Source organism: Homo sapiens, chromosome 5 (genome assembly GCF_000001405.40).
Source record: "Homo sapiens chromosome 5, GRCh38.p14 Primary Assembly".
NCBI classification, from domain to species: domain Eukaryota; kingdom Metazoa; phylum Chordata; class Mammalia; order Primates; family Hominidae; genus Homo; species Homo sapiens.
In genome coordinates, this window is record NC_000005.10 from 158,484,202 (window position 1) to 158,497,307 (window position 13,106).

The 13,106-nt window shown below is 41.1% G+C and overlaps 1 long non-coding RNA gene across 1 annotated transcript; it reads left to right on the forward strand.

Annotated features, from left to right (window-relative positions):
- Positions 1-1,009: 1,009 nt before the first annotated feature.
- Positions 1,010-11,602, forward strand: LOC124901122 (uncharacterized). Its single transcript, XR_007059020.1, has 2 exons — positions 1,010-1,173; positions 11,061-11,602. It is a non-coding gene; the product is annotated as an uncharacterized LOC124901122 (long non-coding RNA).
- Positions 11,603-13,106: the final 1,504 nt, after the last annotated feature.

A 13,106-nucleotide genomic window follows, 5' to 3' on the forward strand; every position in this document is an offset into this window, starting at 1 on the left:
TCGTGTCCATATTAGGTCTGCTTTTCAGTTGTAAAAACAGTAAGTTACCCTCAATTATTCTTATGCACTGGGTGAAAACCTTTTTTTAGCTTTACCAGGTTCCAGAAAGAGGCAAGAGCACTTGGCAAAGGCTTTAGAAAATGATTGTTTCTTAATTCTGCTACAAACTCCAAATGCCACTTCCTGGTTCAGAAGCAAGAGGCTTGGGGGAAAATAAGTTTGAGCTCATAAAAACACTCAAAGGGTATACTGGTCATCAAACAGCTCTGAGCAAACTGTATTTGCAAATGAATCTGAAAACATGTGGATTCAATTTTCCTTGAAATGCCCAGAGGTTAAAAAATTAAAGGGAAAATGTTTGGCAGAAAGAGCCTGGGGTTTGGCTATGTGCATTAGTTTCTGAAAAATAAATTGATTGTTTTGCCAGGGAACAAGTATTACCTGGTTCCCCTTCTCAATCACATCTCTAACTTAATTATCAATGGCCCCATTTCTCATTGTGCCTGCAACGTGGACAAAAGAGTTGAGTTCATTTGGCAAGAAAGCAAATTTTATTCATTGCCAGTGTGTTCTTGTGTGTGGCCGACCCAGAATTTCAGAACTGTCATGGGTTTCAACTCTAGTAACATTGTGGCAAGAAAACCATCTGCTAGCAAAATTGTTTCTTCTCTGCCCATTGCATCCCATCTGCCTTCACCCATCAAAATTTACCCCTCTTTTTCCTTTCTCCAATCCACCAAAATAATACCTTTATTATGACCAAATAAACAGAGGCAAATATGGAAGTGCTTTAGAGCAAATCCAAATTGTTTTAAAAGATCATGAAAATGGAGTGGGTGGGGGAAAATTCCATCTGTGGAAAAGCAGTGATTAGCCTTAAGACCATGTGAGGCCAACGGCACAGAGTCCCATTTACGAGATGATGTGTGTTGCCCGTAAGTGGCTGTTCCTGGTCTCTGAGGTAGCAAAGTTGTCACATGGTTCTGTTGTTGCCATGGCAATAATCTGCAATTGTGCAGAAAATCCACAGAACTCGTGAGCAACTCCTTAGTGGATTGGGCTGAAAGAAAATCAAACCCGTGAAAGCCCTGAATTGATGTGGTTATGAAAGCGCATTGGCCAAGCTGGCTTTCCTTCCTCTGACCCCCATCTAACTATGGTGAACGCCCTCGTGTATGTATATTTTTCTCACTTCTGTGTTCATAACCGGTGAAAGGTATAAATCCTACTCAGCTCGGGATAAGCCTCAGCTCACTCCTTAAAATTCTGAACACACAGTCTGTAATCTACAAGGTGGGAATTGTGGCTTTTTTTGGCTGCTGGAACTTCTTGACCCCAGACTAGCATTGAGGACCAATGCCTGATTTGTACATCTAGGTGAAACAACATTTTAAACACATTAGGGTCTCCCCAAGCCCAGGTGGGTGTTTTCCCCCCGGCAGAGGCCCCGAGAATATGCTGGGCAGGCAAGTGAAGCTCTGAGGATGTGTTGCTCCTGGGTAGCTTGGCAACAGAGTATACACACATGTACAACACACCCATCTGAAGGCATGCCAATACTCCCTGCCTTTAAGCTAGCTAATACAAACCATGCCCAAAATACAGCCGGGAAACGGAGGGTAGGTGGCATTTCCCCCTCCTGCAGGGAAATGCTGCATGACATGCATAGATGCTGTATGACATTTATGCATGTATCAGCAGTCAACCCCAAATAGTTGAGGGCATGAATGAGTGCGGGGGCCCCTGACAGAAAACTGAGCAGGAAGAGAAGCCAGACAAATCACTGTCATGGTCCAAAGAACAGTGAGAATCCCATGGGAATGCAGCTTCCAAGCAGATCCCATGAGAACATCTGGGATGAAGACACTCACGCCAGGCCCTAAACCCAGATTCATTAGTAAGAGTGCGGCATTTCTTCTCATTTTTAAATTTATCTTCTCATACACCACAAGTATGATTTTCTTGCCTTCTGCACATTTTCTTACCGGGAGTAGGAAAAGGATGGTGGAGAATGAACATTAAGCTGTACATTGAGGTGCTTTCTCCCGGATACCTTCTCATTTGGGGTTACTCAACTACAAGCAACAGAAACTCATTCTGCCTAATTTAAGCAGAGAGGAAGGTGACATAGGAGAGTGAAGGGCTTGTGGGTATGGTCAAGTATTGAGAATTAGGATAAGAAATGGAGAGGAAACCAATAGCTTAGGGGTTTAGATAGCAAGAGAGAGAGAAAAAAAATCTGATCATAGTTTCCCACTAGAAACTTTAGCTTCAACTATTTTTCTTTTCTGACATCTTTCTCGAGAGTCAAAGTTTTTGGGAAAAAAAGTCCAGATGGCCTAATTTGGATCACGACTCCAATTCTTTCTTGGTGGGGATGGGGATGTGTGGGAGGAGAAAACGGAGAATATAACCCTTAACTAAGAGTCTCATCGAGATTCCACAGAGTGGGAGGGAGAGAATTTTTCAAAACAAAAATTAAGGTGCATTTATGGAAGGGGATTGTATACTGTGATGGATGGTCGTGGTGTTGGCATGAGAAGAGAGAATCCAACAATAAATCTTGGAGGGAAAGTTGCAAGATGGAAATGCCAATCATTCTATTCATGTTAGTGTGCCTGTGCAGAGATAGGCTAAGCAAAACTGGAACAGAGATGTAGTAGATGGAGAGAGAGTGAGAGAACTAGTCTAGAAAACATTTTGTTTGCCATCCTCTTCCTGAAAGAATCAAGAAGAAAGACAACAACCTGATTTGACACCAGCTATGCTAATGGGGCAGACTTCCTGCTAGTCAAAGCTCCCCGTTAATGTCCACTTCTCAGCGTGTCTGATTATGGGTTGAAGTTGACCGATCAGCAAACTACTCAATTATAAGCCCATCTTCTCCCTGTGGTGCCACTAATTAAAACAGGAACCATGTTGCAGCTCACACACTCCATGGAGTTCTACCTTCCAAAAGCTGAATTAGTCACAACAATTAGCCATTGTCAGTGGAATTCAGCCTCTTTCTTCCTTTCCTCAACCCCACTCCAGTTTGGTGTAAATTCATCTCTGAAAAACCTTCTCTTGGGATTAGTGATCTCCCTGATACCCTTCATGTGAGATAGAAGCACACGTGGTAGGAGATTTGAAACACAACCCCAAAATGCAGCTATGTGGAAATCTCAATGTTCTGGAATGCCCTGACCTTTTGTCCTGCTAATCATCATTTTTTTCCCCTGAAATCACATCTTGAAGGGTATTCCTGCATGCACTTAATTTTTAAGAGGGGAGAGAGGAAAAAAAAACCAACATGGATCAGTACCCTTCCAATAGAAGGAGAGCTGTTCTGCAGACAGCTGGGACAAACTGTAATCTTTTTTCTTTTTCTGTCTTGATAAACATAATGGGCCACTTTGGTAATTTCAGCTGTAAATGCACTTCTCTCTAACAGGACGATGTTTCCCAGTGCAGAAGAGGAGAGAGAAAAGATGTTGAGAATCACTGTGATGACAGGATAGAGGTATAGGGGCTTGCTACATAGCCACAGAGCACATCCCAAACTCACTTGAACATGAAGCCCATGGCTTCTTGACCAGAGAGAGGAACTTCTGTAAACTGTTGAAGGTCCAGTTCAAATCTCCATTAGTATTGAAATCAATATCCCTGGCTGGAAACAAGATGACATTTCTGGCTTTCTTCCAAAGGGACTGCCAATTAACCTCCAGTGGAAAGCTCCCTGCCCACACTTCTCTTAATGTCCCTTCTTCCCTGAAAAGAGGCAACTCTAGATGCTCTTGCCTTTTTATACAAATTTTTCCATTCAGCATTTGATAGCTCCATTGTTTTCTTCCCCAAATGAAACGAAGCAGAAGTTTCTCTATCAAAATATTTTCTTCTCAAAACAGCTGTGCACACTTAAAAGTTTCTAAGAAAATCAGTTTGCACACAATTGTAGAGGAGCAGACCAACCTCAGAGTCATTGCATAAATTCAGTATTGTTAAGTGAGAATAGAACATATCTAAATGTTCCATGGATCACAGTGGTTAAGTGCCTCAACAATGGAGTCAAAAAGACTTCAGTTTCAATTCTGAAATCACAATTAATATTTTGCATTTTGGACAAAACTTCTGAGTATGTGGCCAGTCAACATGGGTAAGAGGGAAGGGATTTCTGGAGCTCTGGGTCTCCTGTGTCATGCTTTCAGAGCACCTGCACTGGGCTCCTGACAATCTGTGTGCCTCCATCTTGGCCAGACCTCTCTGCCCCTTTGTTCCCACCACTTGTCTTTGATAGGGTCATGTCTTCAGTTCCACTTCCTTTACCTTGGGCAGGCTGTCCAAGATGGGGTATGGAGAAGAGCTGCAGATGACTTAGAAAATCCAACTTATTTATCAAGTTTCTTTATCCCACATGGTTTCAGCCAAAATTAGAAGGTACCTGTTGCATGACAAAATGGAGCAGGACACACACACACACACACACACACACACACACACACATATACACACAAGCTATACTGTTACACACCGACACACAGACACATGCTGACAGGAAACACTCAACGACTACCTACTTATTAACTCTTGATGAGACATCTTAGAAATGAAGATTATTTTGTTTACCTCACATTATAGATTGATTTAGGATAGGGTGAAAATTGATATCAGTCAAAGCTCAGGTCAGTTTACGGAGGGAGAGATGGAGTCTGCTGGTGGGCAGTTACTAGAGTGCTTTTCTGACAGCCCACACTCCAAGCAGGGAACAAGACTTGGCTGAGCTAATGAGGATGCTAGAAGGCAGGGAAGAGGGATACTAGGGAGACGGTGGGTGGGTGGAGAGCAGGAAATGGCATGGCCGGCTCTTACACAGGCTCATGTTGCTTGCTGTCATATACAATAAATCTGCTCCAAATGTTAAGAGCAATTAAATAAGAGAGAGAATACAAATGTGGAAAAAAGCTATTGTAATTGGATATTCCAGAGCTTGAGACTCAGGCATAATGTTTTTATAATAGTGTATATAAGAGTCTTCTCTTCAATAGCCTAACAAGGATTAAGTAATTGAAAAACATTATTTCAAAATATTTTCTGGGTTGGATCTTATGTTCCAGCATCTCAAATACACACATTTCCAGTTATGAGAATCTGTCATGTTAGGACAATGAGATCCAGCCTGCAGAACATCTGGCTTCAACCAATGTTCTCAATCTTTTGTTTTTATAAGCAATAAATGTAGAGGGCCAGGTTTGTGTGCTTGGGTGATTTGATTCACTGAATGCACACATAATTTTGGCCACTTGTTATGACTAGTGGTCAGAGGTACCTGACTTCAATCCTTAATTGTTAAAATCATTTTGTTCTTTTCATTTAGTTACCTAAGTTTTATTTTAGGGCCCTGGTGTCTACGTAATATGCTGTCATAGGTCATGATTCAGTCATTTACAAAAATACTTATTGAGAACCAACCATAAGGCAAGCTCACTACTCTCACAAGCTTACAGTCCAGCAGGGGACAGACATGACACAAATCAATACCTAAATGGTTACTTGATTACAATTGTGAAGAGTGCCTCAGAGTAGAAGAATGAGATGCCATCGGGGAGATGCTCAACTGGCCTGAAAGTCAAGCAAGTTGTCTCTGAAAAAAAGCAACATTTAGACCAATAGCTGACTTGGTCAAGTGAAAAAAGAAGAGGTGGAAGGAAGGAAGGGTATTCCAGAGAGAGGGGCCAGTATGTGCAAAGGCCTAGAGGCAGAAGGGAAGAGATGTATTAAGATTTGAGGAACTGGAGAAAGACCACTATGGTGGGATTGTGGGGCACTTTGGAGAGATTGGCAGATGAGAGTGAGGAGGCAGGCAGAGTCTGTGCTGAGGATGAAGGTATTGGGGGACCTAAACTTTGTTCTCAAAGGTGCAATAGAGAGTAACTTGTTGATTAAGCTCTCAGAAAATATTTATAGAATGTATAATCACTCCTTGCAGTTTATTCTCACTGCTGGCAAAAGAGAAAAATAAACACTATTCAGAGTTTGTTCTACTCATGGTGAGTTGGCACAAAGGACAATGCATTTCTTTCATCAACGTTTTCCAAATTTCAGTCTTTTTGACCATAATGATTTTTGCTGCGCCTTCCTAACACCCATATCCTAGTTGATATGATACTCTTCTTTAAACAAAATCATCTTCTTTCTTATACATATTTACTTACAAAAGGAACTTTAAATCACTGCTACAAATGGAAAGTCAGTACTACCTGCCATAAATGGAAGGTAACCATACAAATAAATAGAATGGTAAAGAAGACAATGTTATCACATACTTGAGAGTCACTGTTAGTCTACTGGAGTTCTCAGCCCATGGCCTCCTCTTTATTATATAAAAAGAGAGATTAACAAAAGATAAAATGGGGAAGATATACTAATCCCAAACCGAGACGTTTTTCTTTTCTGACTCCACCAACTGGTTTCAAATAGAATTAAAAAGAAAGCAATGTTCTCACTGTGCAATATAATGTAAGTGATGTCAAGTCAGTGTGCCACATTAAAAAATTCACAAACCACTGATGGCACGTGGCCCATATTTTGGGAAACAGAATTATTTCCTAGATAGTAAATGTAAGCCCAAAGCATATAGTCTTAATTCATTGAACGAAGGAAGGCCAGCCTTTGCCATGGCAGTGAACGTGAACCTCACTTTTTGGAAATGAAGTAGACATTTGATAAACTAGGTAACTTTTCTTGCAGACAAACATTATGATGGACAAAAATATCAGTGATGCTTTATCTGGATCAGGATTTGGCCCAGGTTAACCTTGAGAATAAGCTGACCATCCAGAGAGAGTAGCCTCAGAATGAATCCCATCATAGAGCCAGGCAGACGGAGGGCTGATGTCACAGCATCTAGGGTGGATAGGATTGTGGGGACCATTCTTAGAGGTCAAGTGGAGTCTGACAGCAGCCACAGGAGGCCTGTAACCAGTATGAGATAGACAAGCTCTTATGATTGTTGATGCCATGTTATCATTGTAAACAGAGTTGCCGACTTGTCACTGGCATCAGCAGAGTCAAGTTGTTGGCAGCAGGAACTGGGATTCAAAGCCTCAATTCACATCCTGGGGAGGGCTTGTGAAAGCCAAGCAAAACCTGGGTCCCAGAGGCAATGGCTTATGAGACTTCTACTCAGACAGATACTGAGGCACTAGGGGAATGAAAAGAAAGACTCAGTCATTGAATCTGTAGGCATTTGGCCACCCCGAATGAAGCAGGAGTTCTATAGCCCTTGAAACAAAGACTCTCAATATAGAGGAGAGTCTGGCTGGGCATTAGTTTCTAGAAGCACAACGTAACCGGTTCAGACCCTGAATCTGCAATGAACCCACCGCATTGGTATCACTTGGGAACTTATTAGAGAATCTACTTCTCTGGCCCCATCACAGACCACTGCACCAGAAACTCTGGGAGTGAGGTCCAGCAATCTGTGTTTTAATAAGCCCTCCAGATGATTCTGTGCATGCTAAAATTTGAGAGCTACTGATCCAGAGGAAGCGATGAGAGCAAGTGCGTAGACTTAGGGAAGAACAGGGCTGCTTCCTTGGTGGGAAAGGAACATGCAGGTGTGCCCTCTGTTCAGCATACCAGTTAAGACATTGTCCACCTCCTGTACTGATTTCTCTTTTCTGGGTAATGGCATCTCACATTTTAGCAGTTACTTTCTCTGCCCTGCTACTGTCTGTATATACACAGATAAACATAGTTGCAACATGTAGTCATAGGACTCTCTCAGTAATCACTTTTAGTTTTTATCTATTTTTTCTTTTAGGTAGGCACTTTTGAAAGAATTTAAATACATCTCATAATTTATCTACTGTGGTGGGTAATTTGTGAACATCTTTTAAGGTGTTTGGTTTGTTTTGTCTTAAAGCAAGGGCTTCTCTGTATTGTGCCAAGCCTAATAAGAAACTCAATGCTTGTCCAGTGTTCAAGAGGATAGCCTGCCTGCTTCTTCTCCCTCACCATCCATAATGCAGATGTGGAATAGGTTTGGTGAGGAGGATGATTTTGCAGCAAAGACCTTGGTAGAGGGAGGCAGCAGGAGGAGGTAGCATTATGACCACAAGATGACTGCTAGCAATAGCTGAAGTTATTGCTTCCTTGCTCACATCCAGCAAGGGAGGGAAAGGAATGTCTCTTTGAACCAGTCTTACTGGACCAACATGGGTCATATACTCTCCCCTAGAATGATAACATGCATTGATTGGCTATTTTACAGAAGTCTGAATTTTTGAACCAATCACTAGCATCTGATTATAATGATCAGTTAGCCAAATCAGGGACTTCCTCCTGAACTTGGTGTCAACTCCTCCTGAGTTTTTTGGGCTGAGTTTGAGAGAAAGATGAAACAAAGAAAAGGAGGGCCAAATCTGTTCACTCCAGTTTTCTACTGTGCTAAGCATTTTTCATTCATTTTTGTATTTGATCTTTACAACCAGCCTAAGAGGTTGCTCTTTTTACAGATAAGGAAGATGAAATTCAGAGAAGCTGAATAACTGACTTGCTCTATATCACCACCAAGGTTGACAGAACCAGTGTGCAGATTCAGGTCCAAGAGACACTAGAGGCCTGCTCTTCACCTCCTTGTTGCCTGGTTAGCCACTGTATATGGAGGGGAGCCTACATTTTAGCTTCACATGCAGGGTGTTCAGGGATCCTGGCACTAGCCCAGCGAGGTGGACTCATTTTTACCCCATGCTGAGGAATAATGGGAAAACTCTGGAAAGAACTTGAGCACAGCTCTCAGGTTTCCACGGTTATTTGTCTGTTGTTACCAAACACTAAAGACTTTAAAAATTCTCTATGGTCATATAGGAAAGAAAAATGACCTCATGCTTGCAACCACAAATTCAAAATGCTCTGGAATCTGTAAGACGAACTGCATTTTAATTAGAAAAGAGAAAGAGCAATGAAGACTTTTATTGGATATTTTTGCAAACCCTCCCTTGCCTTGCCTTCAGGCCAAAATGTGACAAGTGCCCTAAATCTGATAACAAACACACACTTCTGAAGTCATTGTTAGCTTTCCTAAAAAGAAAAAAAGAGTCACATTAGTTTTCTGTTACCAATAAGAGTTCAAGAATGCAGTCTTAAAATAAAGCACATGACAACACAAGGAGTATCCTCCATCACACTTCAAAAAGTAAAAATGGAGCTCTCAACCCATTTTCCTCTCTGCTTAGAAACTTTTTTTGTTATGTCAGGTCCTCAGAACCTTGAGCCAGGCAATATTAAAAAGCCTTGTGGTTTATTCCTAAAATCTGGTCATTGATTATTGTCAATGCATTATTCTCAACCACTGGGTCCAACTTCCTAGCTGAAGATGAAGTTTTCCCAACTGACAGTGGAGAGAAATAATAGAATATCAAAGAGCTACCATGTCCCATGATTTGAAAATAGAAACTCTTGGCCTTTGACACAGTAGCTGTTTAATTAAAGGGTGGTGGCAGGCAAAGGAAAGGAGAGATCTCTTATATGTTATATGCTTACTATAAGGCACATGCTTTATTGACAACCTTATATGAATTATCTCATTCAATACTCTCAACAAACCAGTGTAATTGTTATTCTAGTTTATAGATAAGCATACTAATATCTGGAAAAGTTAATTACCTATATATAAGTTATAATGACTTCAACTGCAAGTAGGAGAATATATAGCTGAGAATTTTTTTTTTTAATTATACTTTAAGTTTTGGGTACATGTGCAGAACATGCTGGTTTGTTACATAGGTATACAAGTGCCATGGTGGTTTGCTGCACTCATCAACCCGTCACCTACATTAGGTATTTCTCCTAATGCTATCCCTCCCTTAGCCACTCACCCCCCAACAGGCCCCGGTGTGTGATGTTCCCCTCCCTGTGTCCATGTGTTCTCATTATTCAACTCCCACTTATGAGTGAGAACATGTGGTGTTTGGTTTTCTGTACCTGTGTTAGTTTGCTGAGAATGATGGTTTCCAGCTTCATCCATGTCCCTGCAAATGACATGAACTCATCCCTTTTTCATGGCTGCATAGTATTCCATGGTGTATATGTGCCACATTTTCTTTACCCAGTCTATTGCTGATGGACATTTGGGTTGCTTCCAAGTCTTTGCTATTGTGAATAGTGCCACACTAAACATACGTGTGCATGTGTCTTTATAGTAGAATGATTTATAATCCTTGGGGTATACACCCAGTAATGAGATTGCTGGCTCAAATGGTATTTCTAGTTCTAGATCCTTGAGGAATCACCACACTGTCTTCCACAACGGTTGAACTAATTTACACTCTCACCAACAGTGTAAAAGCATTCCTATTTCTTCACATCCTCTCCAGCATCTGTTTTTTCCTGACTTTTTGTTAAAGCAAGACTCTGTAAATTTTTTTTGGAAAGGGCCAGATAGTACACATTTTAGACTCGGGACTGGGGGCTGTGGGTGTAAGGTCTCTGTAAAGCTAACCTAACTCTGGCATTGTAGCATAAACATATCCATAGATAATATGTAAACAAAAGATGTGGCCATGTTCTAATAAAACTTTATTTATAAGAGCAGACATTGTGCTGGGTTTGGCCCTTCGGTTGCAGTTTGCCAAACATTGGCTTTAAGCAATGCTTCTTAAACTATCTGCAACAAATACCAGTTAATTTTTCCTCTAATTTCCAATATATCATAGATTGATACTTTCATAAACTATAATAAAATGAATTCATAGAAAATGAAACAAAGAAAATATTTACATTCATTTTAAAAAAATTTTTAGAATCAATAGCCATAATATTACCCATCATATTGCTAGAAAAGTTCATAAACAATTATGATTTCTGTGCTTCACTCAATGTGGACCAGTAACAAATGCTTCATGGAATCACACCATGCTATGATTGATACTCTGAGTAGCTATGCTTTAAGGATCAGAATATTTCTCACTGAACAATAAACCCTCGAGGTGGGCAGTTCTGAATGTTTAGCCATGTTCTCAAGGACCCAGTCTTCTTTCATCTCTCCATTTTGTGATGCTCCACATTCGTCTCTCTTCCAGGTTCAAGATGGGGGGCCCCTGTTATTGCATCTTCACACATGATGTCCAAAGCAGGAAGACAGGAAGAGAAGCAAAAAGGGATTTCTTCTTTGGCTACTATCTCTTTTATTGAGCAGGATAAACCTGCCTCAGCAGACTGCTCCTATGTTTCACTGACTGTGAGTCACATGATTCATACCTACACAAGTCACTAGGAAAGAGCAGTAGAGATGCCACAGTTGCCTTAGCCTGGCTGGATTTGTTCCCTCAGGCTGGACCCAGAACCACCTGATAAAACTCAGGATTTAACAAACTAAGAAGGATGCCAGCTCCAGGAATGGGCTTAAGGAAACCTATCTATTTGCTTAAGGATTGAGCTTGCCGTCCTGATCCAGCCAACTCACCAACTGTGCTCCTTCCATTCCAGTATTCTCTCCCAGGAAAAAATTTTTCTTCTACTATGGTTCTGGCTTTGTGATCTGTGTACATTTAATCATTCGTGCAGAGCTTTAAAATTTATAGTGTGCTTCCATGTGTATTATAAAATTTGAATGTTAATTTTACAACGTGTTTGTACCAATTTTATCGCAGAGGACAGAATTTAGGCCTAGGGATGATGTCTAAAATCATGCCACAAGATGTGGTAACATCAGAACCCTGGCTCAGGGCTTCTGACACTTTTCAGTGAGTTCTTCTTGAGGTATTTGGCGCCATTTGCTCTGTACTGATCAGAGCATCAAAATCAGCAGGATCAAAACAACAGCCAGCCAATCTAGGCAAAATCATTGTACAGACAATCATTGGTGTGAACTGACTGATCGTGCCAATAGAATTGACCCTCTTGATTGTATGGATATGGACATTCTCATGTAGGTAGCCAAGTGTCCTGGTGTACTTGGGACTGAGGGGCTTCCCAGAATGTGGGACTTCCAGGTTTCAAACCAGAACGGTCCCAGTTTTCAATTTTAGAACAGGAGAAGTCCCAAGAAAACCAGGGCAAGTTGGTCCCCTTAGTCTCAGCCTCTATCTGCTACCAAACTGTGCTTTCCTGCATTCTTTGCCCTACGAAGTTCACAAGCTCCCAGTTTTCTTAGCAAACCAACAATGTGTCTACTTTTGTTTTGTAAATGACTTTTTCACATTTAAAATATCTAAATTAAGAGAGCCACAGGTATATGTTAGATATTCTTTGCTTCTTCCACAGTTGAGAATTTCCATGGGAAATTAGTAGAAATAGTTTTCCTTGGTTGTGAGGAAATGCATGCAGGAAGACCTTGTAAATTTTATTTCTTTTCTTTTTCTGCTACCAAGCCCAATGCAGGCACTTGGCAGCCAATGTCAGCAGTTAACCAGTTGAGTTGAATATATTTAAAGATGTTCCATCCCCTCCACTGGTTCTCTATAGCTGGTCTTGGACAGTCTGTTAGAAATCATCTAGGACTCTTTAAAAATAAAAACTGCCTGGGCTCTCCCCTGGGCCTATATTGGGCAGGAGGTGGGTAGGTAAGGGAATATGGAATGGGTTTGGGGCCCAGGGACTTGCGCTTTTCACAAAGTTCCCCATGTAATTCCTGACATGCTGCCAGCTTCACAAGCAACTGGCTAGAATCTGTCATTCAACCTTTTTGAGTGACAACTGAAATTGTAATTATGCTGTTAAAAGAGAACCGTATAAAATTGCACAATCGCTTGTCTTTGTCTTTCTTCCCTTCTCTCCCTTTTTCTCCCTTTCTTTTCCTTTTCTTTAGTGGGATCATTCATAAGAACATTGGGGGCAATTTTGGGACATGTTCATGAAAGGAAACTTATAGATATTTAAAGTGAATTTAAACATGCCTTCTAAAAACTCAGAAAGCTACTTGCTACTTAATGTCTGTAGAGACATAAGGCTTGAACAAAATCTCAGAATAAAGAGATCTCTGGGTTCATCCCCAGCAAGGGGACATCTCTGGCTGTGTTATTTACCTGCTGTTATCTGTTACTGTCCTCCAGTCTACCCCGTCTCCATGGTCTACACCCACGTGAGAATCAGTGGACAGAAAGAGATTTGATTTACACTGCTCATTA